Source organism: Homo sapiens, chromosome 5 (genome assembly GCF_000001405.40).
Source record: "Homo sapiens chromosome 5, GRCh38.p14 Primary Assembly".
Taxonomy (NCBI): domain Eukaryota; kingdom Metazoa; phylum Chordata; class Mammalia; order Primates; family Hominidae; genus Homo; species Homo sapiens.
Window position 1 is genome coordinate 127722808 of NC_000005.10, and position 19644 is coordinate 127742451.

General features: G+C 38.9%; 1 protein-coding gene across 10 annotated transcripts in view; it reads left to right on the forward strand.

The window, feature by feature from the left end:
• Positions 1–19644, forward strand: part of CCDC192 (coiled-coil domain containing 192) — a 239292-nt gene that overhangs the window by 20592 nt on the left and 199056 nt on the right. The window contains exon 1 of one of the 10 annotated variants that reach the window (XM_017009805.2): positions 16703–17362. The exons of the other annotated variants lie outside the window; for them this stretch is intronic. Coding sequence (XP_016865294.1) covers positions 17279–17362 — 84 coding nt within the window. The 5' untranslated portion in view covers positions 16703–17278. Of the gene's footprint in view, positions 1–16702; positions 17363–19644 lie in introns of those variants that run through there. 10 annotated transcript variants of the gene reach the window in all.

A 19644-nucleotide genomic window follows, 5' to 3' on the forward strand; every position in this document is an offset into this window, starting at 1 on the left:
ATTTGTCTGTTTTCATTTTTGTGCCAGTATCATGCTGTTTTGGTTACTATAGCTCTGTGGTATAATTTGAAGTCAGGTAATGTGATTCCTCCAGTTTTGCTCTTTTTGCTCAGGGTATCTTTGGCTATTCTAGGTCTTTTATGGTTCCGCACAAATCTTGGATTTTTTTTTAAATTCTGAGAAGAATTTCGTTGTCATTTTGTTAGAGATTGCATTGAATCCGTACATTGCTTTGGGCAGTATGGACATTTTAAAAATATTTATTCTTCCAGACCATGAACATGGAATGTTGTTTCCTTTTTTTGGTATCCTCTTCAATTTCTTGCACTAATGTTTTATAGTTTTCATTGTACAAATCTTTCATTTATTTGGCTAAGTTTATTCCTGGGTATTTTATTTTATTTTTATCTCTTGTAAATGGAATTACTTTCTTGATTTCTTTTTCAGGTTGTTTGCTGTTGGCATACAGAAATGTTACTGATTTTTGTATGTTGATTTTGTATTCTACAACTTTACTAAATTTGTTTGTCAGTTCTAATAGCTATTTTTTATGAAGTCTTTAGGTTTTTCCAAACATAAGATCATATTATCTGCAAACAAGGATAATTTGACTTCTTCCTTTCCAATCTGGATGCTCTCTATTTTATTCTCATCTCATTGCTCTAGGTAGGAGTTCTAGTACTATGTTGAATAACAGTGGTGAAAATGGAGAGACCATCAAAATTAATCAGTCTGACTTTGAAAGCACAGTTCAATTGCTATGATCTGAAGAAAATTACTTTTCAAAACTGTTTAAAATTTCCTTAAGAGAAGATATCATTCGAAGGGGTTAGGACAGTTACTTAATCTAGCCTTTCTCTTTGAGAGGCTTTCTCTGGATACTTGGGGAAGTTGGCAGAGAATGCAGGTGGCAACAGGGTAAATAGCACAAGGATGCAGCCTCTCAGGAAGGAAGTCTGACCTCTGGCTGCCCTCAGTCTCACCAGGCAGATTGCGTAACATCAGCTTAACTTATTTTGATAGTTTTGTTAAACTGAAATTTGCTGCTGGAAATAATAGCCCCAGGTCTTCATGTCAATAGCTAAACTGTTTATGTTAGATCAGATATCAGAGTCCATTGGTTATTTTGAAATAAGTTAAAATATTTCAATCAATGTGGTGTACTATCTGTACTTAGGTTCAGAGAAATGGAGGGTTTTTCTAAGTTTGATTAGAGCTTGCTTCTTCAAGAAGTTGATTGAATGAGGTTATGCATTAACACAGAAAGATGACAAGATAATTTGGATTCTGAAAATTCTGTATCTCATAAGAAAATTTATCACTTACCATTTTTTCAACTCATTTAAGAAGTATTTCCAAATACTCAAAGTAAGTGATTGAAAAATATTTATAATGTTTATTACAATATAATATCCTTCATATATTAAGGTCTTGCCTTAAATACCTAAGGAGAATGCTATAAATTCTAGAACAACCTGCTTTCTCTAGGGCCTATTTCTACCTGCGATCTTCCTTACAATAGAAACATCTATGTCTGTGGTGACTACATTCTGAATCCTATTAATGTTTTTCTTCCAAATTATAGCAGCATTGAGTTTTTGCCTCCTAATGTGTTTTTACATTCTTTTCTGATAATTATGTTATTGAAAATCTAGAAAGAAGTCTTCCATAGTACTTGCTTTGTGATCACTCATCATGTAATGCTCAAATCCAAATGTACTAAATGGTTGGAATTGGTTTGTGGTTTAAAAAAAAAGTCTAGGCCGGGCACAGTGGCTCATGCCTGTAATCCCAGCACTTTCGGAGGCTGAGGCGGGTGGATCATGAGGTCAACAGATCAAGATCATCCTGGCCAACATGGGGAAACCCCGTCTCTGCTGAAAATACAAAAATTATCAGGGTGTGGTGGCACGCGCCTGTAGTCCCAGCTACCTGGGAGGCTGAGACAGCAGAATCGCTTGAACCTGGGAGGCGGAGGTTGCAGTGAGCCGAGATAGTGCTGCTGCACTCCAGCCTGGTGACAGAGTGAGACTCCGTCTCAAAAAAAAAAAAAAAAGAAGAAAAGAAACGTCTAGTTTCAAATATTCAAGTACTTACCCCTATATATACTAGGAAAATAGTATCATCATTCACCATCTCAACTAAAGAAATCCATCTAAATTTTTTCATTTTTAAGTCATTTTTCAAATAATTTACAGAAGGATAAAGGCATAATAGAAAAACTGATTAGAAATTTTAATAAAAGTTAAACATAGCAAAACTCTTTATATCAAATAAAAAATTTGGCACACAAACATTATAAAAGATAAAAGAATATTGTCATATATGCAATTAGCAAAAGAGGAAAGCCCAAATTCTTGTTGCAAAATATGGTGTGATACAGTCTGTCCTGTATGAAGTACTCTATTTTCTTTATTTTCCATAGAGACAGGTTGTTTACTCATTGATTCATGAATTTGAGGAAATTTGTTAAAGTTTGTAGGAAATCATGATCTAAAGATTCATAGTCTATTTCACTTACATGATTGATTCCATCATCAGCATTAGTGTGTAAAGTAGCACTGTCCAACAGAAATATATTTCATGTTATACATGTAATTAAGAAGTTTCTAGTAGCCAAATTGAAAATTTTAAACAGGTGAAATTAAATTTGAATAATACATTTTATTTAATTTTGCATATTCAAAGTATTATTTCAACATATAATTGATATAAAATATTAATAAGATATCTGATATTCCCATTTATTGTACTAAAGCTTCAAAATCAGTGTGTATTTTATACTTAAAACACATCTCAAGTCAAACTAACCATATTTTAAGTACCTGAATGTCACATGTAATTAGTGGCTACCCTATGGGACAGTGCTGGTCTGGAGAGCTTGCTGTAGCTCTTTATATTTGTTTTCTGATTTGTCTAAGAATTGTGAAATGTCTCCCTCTGTCAGTTTTCTTCTGTTTGGTCATTATAGATGGAAAAAGAAAAAATAAGTATTCTAAACTGTGTTCAATGAAGCTAAAAACAACATACACATGGCGTCTCCTCTTCTATACTATCTTGAAAGATGATGCAATACTTTTGGCAACACAGTATAAAATTGAAAGATTATTATTAATTTCACTATTGTATTTGTCTTTCTAGTAGGTTCCATTATTTTTTGTTTTTTTCTTTAGTCTTTTTTTAAGTCATAGTTGAAAATAATTGATGAATAAGAAAAAAATAATTCCTAGTATAACAAAATAGCAAAATGTTTAAAATGTTAGAAAAAGAAGATCACCAAGATCTCACAATATGTCTTAGCTTTATAAAAGGCTCAATGGACTTGTGTGATAATTGCAAGATAGAATAAATTTTATTTTAAAATAAATATATGTTATCTTTGTTCTTTGTAAGACTATTAAGAAATAATAAAATTCACAAAATATCAATTTTTACAGATAGAACTGCTCAAAAAAAGAAACAAAACTATAATTGAGTCCAGTGAACTCCTATGGTATATGGGGGGTTAAATTGCATTAATTAAACAACATGTCGGGGAAAATTTCAGCGACACATTTATTTTTTAGTCCCCCTTTTCTTCTCCATAAGCTTTCATCTCATAGGACTTTTCCCAAGTTTTCTCCTCAAAAATTCTTTGAAAAACTTTCTCTGGTAGCCCCAGTACACAATCTCTTCATCTCAAAAGCCCCAAAGAACCTGTCTAACAAGAAGGTCGCCCAGAGAAGGGGCAGCAGCCATCACTGCAGCTCCAGTCTGCCATTTTCTCCTGTGGGTGCTGGGGAGGCTGGGTGGTTTGGGCCCAGGAGGAATTCCCCACAGCACAGCACAGTGGCTGTGGCAGATCATGACCAGATTGCCTCTTGAGGCTGGACCTCGACCCATCCTTTCTCACTGGTCAGGGCCTCCTTGTGGGAATTTCAGCCATTCTGGCCAGGGGTTTACGGACAGAGCTTTGATCTCCCTGGGATGAAACCCTGGGGTAAGGGGATCTGCAGACTTAGTCTTTCCCCTTGCTGGCTCTGAGGAATCCAGGCAGTCTGGAGGAGTGGGATTCCTCCCACACAGTGCACCCGCTCCACCAAGGGGCCACCAGAGTGCTTCAGTAAGCAAGTCTTTGATCCCATGCCTCCTGACTGGGTGAGACCCTACAACAGTGGTTGCCAGACACATTATACAGGAGCATTCCTGCTGGCATCAGGTTGGTGCCCCTCTGGGACAGAGCTCCCAGAGGAAGAAGTGGACAGCCATCTTTGCTGTTCTGCAGCCTCCTCTGGTGACACCTCCAAGTGTGGGAGGGACCCTGACAAATAGGGTCTGGAAGGGACCCTCAGCAAACCATAGCAACCCTACGGAAGAGGGGCCTGACTGTTAAAAGAAAAACAGGCTGGGAGTGGTGGCTCATGCCTGTAATCCCAACACTTTGGGAGGCCACGAGGCAGACGATCTTCTGAGGTCGGGAGGTCGAGACCAGCCTGACCAGCATGGAGAAACCCCATCTCTACTAAAAATACAAGATTAGCCGGGCATGGTGGCGCATGCCTGCAATCCCAGCTACTCAGGAGGCTGAAGCAGGAGAATCACTTGAACCCAGGAGGCAGAGGTTGCGGAGAGCTGAGATCATGCCATTGCACTTCAGCCTGGGCAACAAGAGAGAAACTCCATCTAAAAAAAGAAAAAAAAAATCAAAAGAAAAGAAAAACAAACAAACAGAAAACAACAGCGTCAACAAAAAGTCCCCACAAAAACCCCATCCAAAAGTCAGCAGCCTCAAAGATCAAAACTACATAAACTCATGCTGAAAACTCAAAAAGCCAGAGTGCCTCTTCTGCTCCAAATGATCACAACACCTCTCCAGCAAGGGAACAGAACTGGGCTGAGGCTGAGATGGATAAACTGACAGAAGTAGGCTTCAGAAGGTGCGTAATAATGAACTTTGCTGAACTAAAGGAGCATGTTCTAACCCAATGCAAAGAAGCTAAGAACCACAATAAAACACTATAGGGGCTGTTAACCAGAATAACCAGTTTAGAGAAGAAAATAAATGACCTGATGGAGCTGAAAAACACAACATGAGAACTTCACAGTGCAACCACAAGTATCTACAGCCAAATAGACCAGGTAGAGAAAATAATTTCAGAGCTGGAAGACTATCTTGCTGAAATAAGACAGGCAAACAAGATTAGAGAAAAATGAATGAAAAGGAATAAACAAAACCTCTGAGGACTATGGGATTATGTAAAAGGACCAAACCTACAACTGATTGGGGTACCTGAAAGAGACGGGGAGAACAAAACCAAGTTGGAAAACATTCTTCAAGATATCATCCAGGAGAACTTCCCCAACCTAGCATGACACACCAACATTCAAAGTTAGGAAATCCAGAGAACCCCAATAAGATACTCCATGAAAAGGTCAACCCCAAGACACATAATCATCAGATTCTCCAAGGTCAAAATGAAGGAAAAAATTGTTAAGGGCAGCCAGAGAGAAAGGCCATGTCACCTACAAAGGGAAGCCCATCAGACTAACAGAGGACCTCTCAGTGAAAACCTTACAAGCCAGAAAAGATTGGGGGGACAATATTCAACATTCTAAAAGAAAAGAATTTCCAAACTAGAATTTCATATCCAGCCAAACTAAGCTTCATAAGCAAAGAGGAAATAAAATCCTTTTCAGACAAGCAAATGCTGAGGGAATTTGTCACCACAAATCCTGCTTTGCAGGAGCTCCTGAAGGAAGCACTAAATATGGAAAGGAAAATCCATTACCAGCCACTACAAAAACACACTGAAGTACAAAGACCAATGACACTATGAAGCAACTACATTAACAAGTCTGCAAAATAACCAGCTAGCATAATGGTGACAGGATCAAATTCACACATAACAATATTAACCTTAAATGTAAATAGGCTAAGTGCCCCAATTAAAAGACACAGAATGGCAGGCTGAATAAAGAGTCAAGACCCATCAGTGTGTTGTATTCAAGAGAACCATCTCATGTGCAAAGACACACATAGGCTCAAAATAAAAGGATGGAGAAAAACTTACCAAGCAAATGCAAAGTAGAAAAAAACACAAATTGCAATCCTAGTTTCTTTTTTTCTTTTTTTTTCTGGAGACAGAGTCTGGCTCTGTCACCCAGGCTGGAGTGCAGTGGCATGATCTCGGCTCACTGCAGTCTCTGCCTTCTGAGTTCAAGCAATTCTCCTGACTTAGCCTCCCGAGTAGCTGGGACTACAGGTGCATGCCACCACGCCTGGCTAATTTTTGTAGTTTTAGTAGAGACAGGGTTTCACCATGTTGGCTAGGCTGGTCTCAAACTCCTGACCTCAGATGATCAGCCCACCTCAGCCTCCCAAAGTGCTGGGAATACAGGCATGAGCCACTGAAACTGGCTGCAATCCTAGTTTCTGACAAAACAGACCTTAAGCCAACAAAGATCAAAAAAGACAAAGAAGGGCATTACATAATGGTAAAGGGTTTAATTCAACAACAAGAGCTAACTATCCTAAATATATATGCACCCAATGCAGGAGCACCTAGATTCATAAAGCAAGTTCATAGATACCTTCAAAGAGACTTAGACTCCTACACAATAATAGTGGGAGACTTTGAGACCACACTGTCAATATTAGACAGATCACAGATCATAGTGACAGAACACTGACAAAGATATTCAGGACTTGAACTCAGCTCTGAATCCAATGGATCTGATATGTATCTGCAGAACTCTCCATGTCAAAACTACAGAATATACATTCTTCTTCGGGTCACATGGCACTTACTCTAAAATCAGTCACATAATTGGAAGTAAAACACTCCTCAGCAAATGAAAACGAACTGAAATCATAACAAACAGTCTCCCAGACCACAGCACAATCAAATTAGAACTCAAGATTAGGAAACTCACTGAGAACCACACAACTACATGAAAATTGAACTACCTGCTCCTGAATGACTCCTGGGTAAATAATAAAATTAAGGCAGAAAACAAGAAGTTCTTTGAAACCAATGATAACAAAGAAACAGTGTACCAGAATCTCTGGGATGCAGCTACAGTAGTGTTAAGAGGGAAATTTCCAGCACTAAATGCCCACATCAAAAAAGATTAGAAAGATCTCAAATCGACATCGTAATACACAAATAAAAGAACTAGAGAACCAAGAGCAAATAAACCCCAAAGCTAGCAAAAGACAAGAAATAACCAAAATCAAAGTGGAACTGAAGAAGATAGAGACACAAAAAACCCTTCCAAAAATCAATTAATCCAGGACCTGCTTTTATGAAAAAATGAATAAAATCAATAGACCAAAAGCTAGACTAATAAAGAAGAAAAGAGAGAGGAATCAAATAGACACAATATAAAATGATAAAGGAGATATTACCACTGACCCCACAGAATATACAAACAACCATCAGAGAATACTATAAACACCTCTATGCAAATAAACTAGAAAATCTAGAAGAACTGGGTAAGTTCCTGGACATATATATCCTCCCAAGACTGAACCAATATGAAGTTGATATCTGAATAGACCAATTACAAGTTCTGAAATTGAGGCAGTAATAAATGGCCTACCAACCAAAAGAAGCCTAGGACCAGACAGTTTTATAGCTAAATTCTACCAGAGGTACAAAAAGGAGCTGGTACCATTTATTCTGAAACTATTCCAAGCAATTGAAAAGGAGAGACTCCTCCCTATCTCATTTTATGAGGCCAACATTATCCTGATACCAAAACCTGGCAGAGATACAACAAAAAAAACTTTAGGCCAATATCCCTAATGAACATTGATGCAAAAATCCTCAATAAAATACTGGCAAACCAAATCCAGCAGCACATCAAAAAGCTTATCCACTATGATCAAGTCAGCTTCATCCCCAGGATGAAGCCTGGTTCAACATATGCAAATCAATAAATGTAATTCATTACATAAACAGAACTAAAGACAAAAACTACATGATTACCTCAATAGAAGCAGAAAAGGCCTTCAATAAATTTCAACATCACTTTATGTTAAAAACTCTCAATAAACTAGGTATTGATGGAACATACCTCAAAATAATAAGAGCCATTTATGACAAATCCACAGCCAATATCATACTGAATGGGCAAAAGCTAGAAGCATTCCCTTGAAAACAGGCCAAGACGAGGATGCCCTCTCTCACCACTCCTATTCAACATAGTATTGGAAGTTTTGGCCAGGGCAATCAGGCAAGAAAAGGAATAGAGCATATTCAAATAGGAAGGGAGGAAGCCAAACTGTCTCTATTTGAAGATGACATGATCCTATATCTAGAAAATTCCACCATCTCAGCCTCAAAGCTTCTTAAGCTGATAAGCAACTTCAGCAAAATCTCAGGATACAAAATCAATATGCAAAAATCACGAGCATTCCTATACACAAATGATAGACAAGCAGAGAGCCAAATCATGAATGAACTCCTGTTCACAATTGCTAGAAAGAGAATAAAACACCTGGGAATACAGCTAACAAGGGGAGTGAAGGATCTCTTCAAGAAGAACTACAAACTACTGCTTGAGGAAATCAGAGAGGACACAAACAAATGGAAAAACATTCCATGCTCACAGATAGGAAGAATAAATATCGTAAAAATGGCCATACTGTCCAAAGTAATTTATAGATTCAATGCTATTCCTATTAAAATACCATTGACATTCTTCACAGAACTAGAAAAAACTACTTTAGAATTCATACAGAACCAAAAAAGAGCCTGTATAGCCAAGACAATTCTAAGCAAACAGAGCAAAGCTGGAGGCATTATGCTACCTGATTTTAAACTATACTACAAGGCTACAGTAACCAAAACAGCATTGTACTCGTACAAAAACAGATACATAGACCAACGGAACAGAATAGAGAACCCAGAAATAAGACTATGACCATCTGATCTTTGACAAACCTGACAAAAATAAGCAATGAGGAAAGGATTCCCTGTTTAATAAATGGTGCTGGAGAACTGGCTAGCCATATGCAGAAAATTGAAACTGGTTGCCTTCCTTATACCATATACAAAAATTAGCTCAAGATGGATTAAAGACTTAAATGTAAAACCCAAAACTATAACATCCCAAACAGAAAATCTAGGCAATACCATTCAGGACACAGGCTGTAGCAAAGATTTAATGACTAAAACATCAACAACAAAAATAAAAAATTGACAAATGGGATCTAATTAAACTAAAGAGCTTCTGCATACCAAAAGAAACTGTCATTAGAGTGAACAGACAACCTACAGAATGGGAGAAATTTTTTGCAATCTATTCATCTGACAAAGGTCTAATATCCAGGATCTACAAGGAACTTAAAGAAATGTACAAGAAAAAAAAACCATTAAAAAGTGGGCAAAAGACATGAACAGACACTTCTCAAAAGAAGACATTTATGTGGCCAACAAACATATGGAAAAAAGCTCAGCATCACTGATCATTAGAGAAATGCAAATCAAAACCACAATGAAATACCATCTCACACCAGTCAGAATGGCAATTATTAAAAAGTCAAGAAACAACAGATGCTGGCAATGCTATGGAGAAAAAGAAACACTTTTACACTGTTCGTGGGAATGTAAATTAGTTCAACCATTGTGGAAGACAGTGTGGCAACTCCTCAAAGACATGTAACAAGAAATACCATTTGACCCAGCAATCCCATTACTAGGTATATACCCAGAGGAATATAAATCATTCTATTATAAAGATATATGCACGCATATGTTCATTGCAGCACTATTCACAATAGCAAAGACATGGAATTAACCCAAATGTCCATCAATGATAGACTGGATAAAGAAAATGTGGTACATATACACCATGGAGTACTATGCAGTCATAAAAAGGAATGAGATCTTGTCCTTCAGGAACATGGATGGAGCTGGAAGCCATTATCCTCAGCAAACTAATGTAGGAACAGAAAACCAAACACCACATGTTCTCACTTATAAGTGGGAGCTGAATGATGAGAACACATGAACACAGGGAGGGGAATAACACACACTGGGGCCTGCAAGGGTGAGGGTGGCAGGAGGAAGGAGAGCATCAGGGTAAATAGCTAATGCATGTGGGGCTTAATACCGAGGTGATGGGTTGATAGATGCAGCAAATCACCATGGCACACGTTTACCTGTGCAACAAACCTGCACATCCTACACATGTACCCTGGAACTTAAAATAAAATAATACAATTTTTAAAAAAGAAGGTCAAGGAAGAGAAGAGATGGAACAGATCAATTAAAAATTCTCTTTAGCTGGCAGGGGAGGATGCAAGGCTGTGCCCTCCCCACTTGCATTTTTGAATTTTTGCTCTTAGTTTATGCATAACTATGTGCATTTTCTAACAAGGAGTAACCAGGCTAGGAGGTATATTCACATAAAGCCAAGAGTTTCTGGTCCTTACAATCAACTCCCAGACTCTCTCCTAGGCTGAGAACTCCCAGAAGCTGGACCATAGGAACATAAAACCTACAGCTTGATGAGAGAATTTTCTTTTTACTTGCTACTGTGGACCAGCCGTTATACTAAGTAAAGTTCCTGAATTACCCCATTTCATCATCACAGCAAACCCTGGAGTTATCATCTCCTCCATTTTTATAGATGAGGAAATAGGGGCTCAGAATAATTAAATTACTGTCTTAAAGTCACAGAAACAATAAATATAATTGAGTCAAGGACCTCGCATCAGTCAGATTCATATTTGAAATCAACAGAACCCATACTAGTTAGGATTCAAGAGGGGAAAGAATTATTGGAAAATATTAGATATTTCAGAGGTTCTTTAGGAGAGCCAGAGAATCAACCTTGGAGGCTACACGCAATTATCTTGCAGATTCTGAGGACAAACCTGTTACTGCTGCCACCAGACCTATAACCTGTCACTTTCCCTGAATCTGAGATATTACTTCTAAGTCTTCTATCACTGTAGCCTCTGAAAACAGAATGACCCTGTCCACCAAGCCAGATTCCACGCTGTTTGGCACCTTTTTCATTTCATTCTCATCCACATTGAAGTTTCTTTTTTTTTTTTTCCAGTTTCCAATACATTTTTTATTTCCACCTGAGAATTTGTCAGCCATGCCTTCACTAACTATATATATATATATATTTTTTTATTATACTTTAAGTTTTAGGGTACATGTGCACATTGTGCAGGTTAGTTACATATGTATACATGTGCCATGCTGGTGCGCTGCACCCACTAACTCATCATCTAGCATTAGGTATATCTCCCGATGCTATCCCTCCTCCCTCCCCCCACCCCACAACAGTCCCCAGAGTGTGATATTCCCCTTCCTGTGTCCATGTGATCTCATTGTTCAGTTCCCACCTATGAGTGAGAATATGCAGTGTTTGGTTTTTTGTTCTTGCGATAGTTTACTGAGAATGATGATTTCCAATTTCATCCATGTCCCTACAAAGGACATGAACTCATCACTTTTTATGGCTGCATAGTATTCCATGGTGTATATCTGCCACATTTTCTTAATCCAGTCTATCATTGTTGGACATTTGGGTTGGTTCCAAGTCTTTGCTATTGGGAATAATGCCGCAATAAACATACGTGTGCATGTGTCTTTACAGCAGCATGATTTATAGTCCTTTGGGTATATACCCAGTAATGGGATGGCTGGGTCAAATGGTATTTCCAGTTCTAGATCCCTGAGGAATCGCCACACTGACTTCCACAATGGTTGAACTAGTTTACAGTCCCACCAACAGTGTAAAAGTGTTCCTATTTCTCCACATCCTCTCCAGCACCTGTTGTTTCCTGACTTTTTAATGATAGCCATTCTAACTGGTGTGAGATGGTATCTCATTGTGGTTTTGATTTGCATTTCTCTGATGGCCAGTGATGGTGAGCATTTTTTCATGTGTTTTTTGGCTGCATAAATGTCTTCTTTTGAGAAGTGTCTGTTCATGTCCTTTGCCCACTTTTTGATGGGGTTGTTTGTTTTTTTCTTGTAAATTTGTTTGAGTTTGTTGTAGATTCTGGATATTAGCCCTTTGTCAGATGAGTAGGTTGCAAAAATTTTCTCCCATTCTGTAGGTTGCCTGTTCACTCTGATGGTAGTTTCTTTTACTGTGCAGAAGCTCTTTAGTTTAATTAGATCCCATTTGTCAATTTTGTCTTTTGTTGCCATTGCTTTTGGTGTTTTAGACATGAAGTCCTTGCCCATGCCTATGTCCTGAATGGTAATGCCTAGGTTTTCTTCTAGGGTTTTTATGGTTTTAGGTCTAACATTTAAGTCTTTAATCCATCTTGAATTGATTTTTGTATAAGGTGTAAGGAAGGGATCCAGTTTCAGCTTTCTACATATGGCTAGCCAGTTTTCCCAGCACCATTTATTAAATAGGGAATCCTTTCCCCATTGCTTGTTTTTCTCAGGTTTGTCAAAGATCAGATAGTTGTAGATATGCGGCGTTATTTCTGAGGGCTCTGTTCTGTTCCATTGATCTATATCTCTGTTTTGGTACCAGTACCATGCTGTTTTGGTTACTGTAGCCTTGTAGTATAGTTTGAAGTCAGGTAGTGTGATGCCTCCAGCTTTGTTCTTTTGGCTTAGGATTGTCTTGGAAATGTGGGCTCTTTTTTGGTTCCATATGAACTTTAAAGTAGTTTTTTCCAATTCTTTGAAGAAAGTCATTGGTAGCTTGATGGGGATGGCATTGAATCTGTAAATTACCTTGGGCAGTATGGTCATTTTCACAATATTGATTCTTCCTACCCATGAGCATGGAATGTTCTTCCATTTGTTTGTATCCTCTTTTATTTCCTTGAGCAGTGGTTTGTAGTTCTCCTTGAAGAGGTCCTTCACATCCCTTGTAAGTTGGATTCCTAGGTATTTTATTCTCTTTGAAGCAATTTTGAATGGGAGTTCACTCATGATTTGGCTCTCTGTTTGTCTGTTGTTGGTGTATAAGAATGCTTGTGATTTTTGTACATTGATTTTGTATCCTGAGACTTTGCTGAAGTTGCTTATCAGCTTAAGGAGATTTTGGGCTGAGACAATGGGGTTTTCTAGATATACAATCATGTCTTCTGCAAAGAGGGACAATTTGACTTCCTCTTTTCCTAATTGAATACCGTTTATTTCTTTCTCCTGCCTAATTGCCCTGGCCAGAACTTCCAACACTATGTTGAATAGGAGTGGTGAGAGAGGGCATCCCTGTCTTGTCCCAGTTTTCAAAGGGAATGCTTCCAGTTTTTGCCCATTCAGTATGATATTGGCTGTGGGTTTGTCATAGATAGCTCTTATTATTTTGAAATATGTCCCATCAAGACCTAATTTATTGAGAGTTTTTAGCATGAAGGGTTGTTGAATTTTGTCAAAGGCTTTTTCTGCATCTATTGAGATAATCATGTGGTTTTTGTCTTTGGCTCTGTTTATATGCTGGATTACATTTATTGATTTGCGTATATTGAACCAGCCTTGCATCCCAGGGATGAAGCCCACTTGATCATGGTGGATAAGCTTTTTGATGTGCTGCTGGATTCGTTTTGCCAGTATTTTATTGAGGATTTTTGCATCAATGTTCATCAAGGATATTGGTCTAAAATTCTCTTTTTTTGTTGTGTCTCTGCCTGGCTTTGGTATCAGAATGATGCTTGCCTCATAAAAAGGGTTAGGGAGGATTCCCTCTTTTTCTATTGATTGGAATAGTTTCAGAAGGAATGGTACCAGTTCCTCCTTTTACCTCTGGTAGAATTCGGCTGTGAATCCATCTGGTCCTGGACTCTTTTTGGTTGGTAAGCTATTGATCATTGCCACAATTTCATAGCCTGTTATTGGTCTATTCAGAGATTCAGCTTCTTCCTGGTTTAGTCTTGGGAGAGTGTATGTGTCCAGGAATTTATCCATTTCTTCTAGATTTTCTAGTTTATTTGCATAGAGGTGTTTGTAGTATTCTCTGATGGTAGTTTGTATTTCTGTGGGATCGGTGGTGATATCCCCTTTATCATTTTTTATTGTGTCTATTTGATTCTTCTCTCTTTTTTTCTTTATTAGTCTTGCTAGCGGTCTATCAATTTTGTTGATCCTTTCAAAAAACCAGCTCCTGGATTCATTAATTTTTTGAAGGGTTTTTTGTGTCTCTATTTCCTTCAGTTCTGCTCAGATTTTAGTTATTTCTTGCCTTCTGCTAGCTTTTGAATGTGTTTGCTCTTGCTTTTCTAGTTCTTTTAATTGTGATGTTAGGGTGTCAATTTTGGATCTTTCCTGCTTTCTCTTGTGGGCATTTACTGCTATAAATTTCCCTCTACACATTGCTTTGAATGTGTCCCAGAGATTCTGGTATGTTGTGTCTTTGTTCTCGTTGGTTTCAAAGAACATCTTCATTTCTGCCTTCATTTCATTATGTACCCAGTAGTCATTCAGGAGCAGGTTGTTCAGTTTCCATGTAGTTGAGCGGTTTTTAGTGAGATTCTTAATCCTGAGTTCTAGTTTGATTGCACTGTGGTCTGAGAGATAGTTTGTTATAATTTCTGTTCTTTTACATTTGCTGAGGAGAGCTTTACTTCCAAGTATGTGGTCAGTTTTGGAATAGATGTGGTGTGGTGCTGAAAAAAATGTATATTCTGTTGATTTGGGGTGGAGAGTTCTGTAGATGTCTATTAGGTCCGCTTGGTGCAGAGCTGAGTTCAATTCCTGGGTATCCTTGTTGACTTTCTGTCTCGTTGATCTGTCTAATGTTAACAGTGGGGTGTTAAAGTCTCCCATTATTAATGTGTGGGAGTCTAAGTCTCTTTGTAGGTCACTCAGGACTTGCTTTATGAATCTGGGTGCTCCTGTATTGGGTGCATATATATTTAGGGTAGTTAGCTCTTCTTGTTGAATTGATCCCTTTACCATTATGTAATGGCCTTCTTTGTCTCTTTTGATCTTTGTTGGTTTAAAGTCTGTTTTATCAGAGACTAGGTTTGCAACCCCTGCCTTTTTTTGTTTTCCATTTGCTTGGTAGATCTTCCTCCATCCTTTTATTTTGAGCCTATGTGTGACTCTGCACGTGAGATGGGTTTCCTGAATACAGCACACTGATGAGTCTTGACTCTTTATCCAATTTGCCAGTCTGTGTCTTTTAATTGGAGCATTTAGTCCATTTACATTTAAAGTTAATATTGTTATGTGTGAATTTGATCCTGTCATTATGATGTTAGCTGGTTATTTTGCTCGTTAGTTGATGCAGTTTCTTCCTAGTCTCGATGGTCCTTACATTTTGGCATGATTTTGCAACAGCTGGTACCAGTTGTTCCTTTCCATGTTTAGTGCTTCTTTCAGGAGCTCTTGTAAGGCAGGCCTGGTGGTGACAAAATCTCTCAGCATTTGCTTGTCTGTAAAGTATTTTATTTCTCCTTCACTTATGAAGCTTAGATTGGCTGGATATGAAATTCTGGGTTGAAAATTCTTTCCTTTAAGAATGTTGAATATTGGCCCCCACTCTCTTCTGGCTTGTAGGGTTTCTGCCAAGAGATCCGCTGTTAGTCTGATGGGCTTCCCTTTGAGGGTAACCCGACCTTTCTCTCTGGCTGCCCTTAACATTTTTTCCTTCATTTCAACTTTGGTGAATCTGACAATTATGTGTCTTGGAGTTGCTCTTCTCAAGGAGTATCTTTGTGGCGTTCTCTGTATTTCCTGAATCTGAATGTTGGCCTGCCTTGCTAGATTGGGGAAGTTCTCCTGGATAATATCCTGCAGAGTGTTTTCCAACTTGGTTCCATTCTCCCCATCACTTTCAGGTACACCAATCAGACGTAGATTTGGTCTTTTCACATAGTCCCATATTTCTTGGAGGCTTTGCTCATTTCTTTTTATTCTTTTTTCTCTAAACTTCCCTTCTCGCTTCATTTCATTCATTTCTTCTTCCATTGCTGATACCCTTTCTTTCAGTTGATCACATCAGCTCCTGAGGCTTCTGCATTCGTCACGTAGTTCTCGAGCCTTGGTTTTCAGCTCCATCAGCTTCTTTAAGCACTTCTCTGTATTGGTTATTCTAGTTACACATTCTTCTAAATTTTTTTCAGTTTTCAACTTCTTTGCCTTTGGTTTGAATGTCCTCCCATAGCTCAGAGTAATTTGATCGTCTGAAGCCTTCTTCCCTCAGCTCGTCAAAGTCATTCTCCATCCAGCTTTGTTCCGTTGCTGGTGAGGAACTGTGTTCCTTTGGAGGAGGAGGAGGCGCTCTGCTTTTTAGAGTTTCCAGTTTTTCTGTTCTGTTTTTTCCCCATCTTTGTGGTTTTATCTACTTTTGATCTTTGATGATGGTGATGTACAGATGGGTTTTTGGTGTGGATGTCCTTTCTGTTTGTTAGTTTTCCTTCTAACAGAGAGGACCCTCAGCTGCAGGTCTGTTGGAATACCCTGCCGTGTGAGGTGTCAGTGTGCCCCTGCTGGGGGGTGCCTCCCAGTTAGGCTGCCCGGGGGTCAGGGGTCAGGGACCCACTTGAGGAGGCAGTCTGCCCGTTCTCAGATCTCCAGCTGGGTGCTGGGAGAACCACTGCTCTCTTCAAAGCTGTCAGACAGGGACATTTAAGTCTGCAGAGGTTACTGCTGTCTTTTTGTTTGTCTGTGCCCTGCCCCCAGGGGTGGAGCCTACAGAGGCAGGCAGGCCTCCTTGAGCTGTGGTGGGCTCCACCCAGTTAGAGCTTCCGGGCTGCTTTGTTTACCTAATCAAGCCGGGGCAATGGTGGGCGCCCCTCCCCCAGCCTCGCTGCCGCCTTGCAGTTTGATCTCAGACTGCTGTGCTAGCAGTCAGCGAGACTCTGTGTGCGTAGGACCCTCCGAGCCAGGTGCGGGATATAATCTCGTGATGCTCCGTTTTTTAAGCCTGTCGGAAAAGTGCAGTATTCGGGTGGGAGTGACCCGATTTTCCAGGTGCCATCTGTCACCCCTTTCTTTGACTCAGAAAGGGAACTCCCTGACCCCTTGCACTTCCCAAGTGAGGCAATGCCTCGCCCTGCTTCGGCTCGCGCATGGTGTGCGCACCCACTGACCTGCGCCCACTGTCTGGCACTCCCTAGTGAGATGAAACCGGTACCTCAGATGGAAATGCAGAAATCACCCGTCTTCTGCGTCGCTCACGCTGGGAGCTGTGGACCGGAGCTGTTCCTATTCGGCCATCTTGGCTCCTGCATCTCCACATTGAAGTTTCATGCTGGTGTGTCTGACTTGGTGGAGTCTAAGTCACATAACTACACCTTGGCTGCGAAGAATGCTTGGGAAGGAGCTCCTGGCTTTTAACTTTGGAAGATAGGATTTATGAGATGGGAAATTATCCAAACAGAGAACGACACTGGGCAGTCAAAACAGCTTGCCAAATGGCCAGTGCAGAGGTCAAGTTGAATGAGGTACAATGGTGTTCTCATTTTACAGATGGGAAAACTGAGGTGCACTGAGTAGCTACAGTTGGCTGTACTATGCTCTCTTCTCCAATATTTTTGCCATGCCTCTTAGAAGCATTTTGATTGCAAGACCTTAAAAGAAGTGGAAATTCACAGCAAAAGTGAGCCTTTCCATCTGTCTTCTGTGCCTTATAGTATTAGAATGTACTATGGAAATTGTTGCTAAACTTTTATCTGATAGGAAAGGATGCATAACACATTTCTCCTTCAGATCTTGGTAAAGAATGGAGTCTGTGCAAATGCCAGTCTGGGAGGTAATAAAAGGGTTTCTCATGAAAAAGGTTTCTATGAAACTTCAATTTCAATGAAGGATTTCCTTGCTAGGTTTTGGAAATAGCATTGTTGGAATATTGAAGTTCTTATCATTGTAATTAATTTTTTAAATTTTTTAAAAAATTTACCTATTTAGAATCTAAAACTTTTTAGTAGAAAAAAATTACCTCCAGTCTGAACAGTGTCAATCATAAAACATTTGCTATTAATTTTACACAGTATAGCAAAATTTATACAACAAAACTAATTTTGAAAAGCCACAATCAACTTGGGCAATGAAATGTCATCAATTCTATCACTTTACTCATGAGCTGACTTGAAAGTCCTACAGGCATGTGCGTTTCCTAAAACACTAAAATTCAGTTGGAGAATGAAAACATAGTTGGTCAACATGCCAAAGTACTCAAAATCTAAACTCATGCATGATGAGTGAGAAAATAAATAATCCTGTCACACAAAAAAAGTACCATCTTTTCAAATGGCAAACGTATTTGCAGTATTTTATATCCCACTTAACTGAAAATGTTATTTAAAAACAAATAGATTTTTTTTTATTTAGTTGTTGTTGTCGTCATTGTTGTTGAGACAGGTTCTTGCTCTATCATCCAAGCTGGAGTGCAGTGGCGTAATCTCGGCTCACTGCAGCCTCCACTTCCCAGGCCCAAGCAATCCTTCAGCCTCAGCTTCCCAAGTAGCTGGGACTGCAGGCACACACCACCACCACCTGCTAATTATTTTTATTTTTTTGCAGAGACGAGGTCTCACCATGTTGCACAGGCTGATCTTGAACTCCTGGGCTCGAGAGATCTGTCCATCTTAGCCTCCCAAAATGCTGGGACTGCAGTTGTGAGCCAGCACACCCAGCCTGTAATTTATTTTTGAATAAAAATTAAAGGTGACTAGCATGTGATATTCCCTCTAAACAAGGATTGCTTAATGTGGGCTACATGAATGATATTGAGAAGAGTGCTTAAACACCCTGAAAGCATATACAAAATTATGTGCAGGTGTGCTTACTGTATGTGTGTGCAAGCTGTGCACATACTTTTTTTGATAAGAGAATTCACAGATGTTATCAGGTGTTCAAAGGAGTCTCTGTTGCTCATAAATCAAAATGATAGAGGGCTATTTTAGGTCACAGAACAGATTCTGTAACATATGTAATGTAATATGAACTTGAATTCAGGACTCCTCTAGCCCAGATCCTATTTTGCTATTAACTTTAATTTAAACCATGCAAGATATCCATCTTTTGCAAGGTCCTTTTTCTCCTCTGATGCTGTTTATACAAGGTCTCTAAGAGCCTATAAAGCAATGTTACTAGAGATAGACCTGGAATATTTGAAAACAGATTAGAACTGCCTCTTACCACCTTCTAACATCTACCAGAATCTTCATCAAAGAGGAAGGAACAAAGCCCTAAAGCACAAAGCAGTATATTAGGAGTGAGCATAAAAACGTTAAATTAACCACCAAACTTGTGACATTCTTTTCATTTTTACATAAACCTAATCCCAAGATTTCTGTATTGGAGAGAAATTCTAGGCTGAGACTCCTAGTGAGCATATTAACTACGTCTGCCTTGTTACTCCTTATTTCCCTGTTGCCTAGTATAGTGCCTGGCAAATAGTGAGCCTTCAATAAATATTTTTTGAACTTAAATGAATTGAATTGCTTTGAGCTGAATAAGAGTTGGCATGTTAAGAGTTTTGGGTCAGCCATTATTTAAAGTTATTTATGAAGCTATCAAATGTCACATGGGCATTTCTCTTTAACTTCCATGCCAACAACCTTTTTATAAATTAAAATCTGAGTCAACAATTTCTTTCCAATACCTTTTTCTTTTATTCTATCAGTAATGCTATAGAAATGGACAAGTAGTTAAATCTTTCACAGGGTGAAAGGTTGACTTTTAGGAATGTGTTTATTTCTAAAAAAAATAGTATCCTGGAACC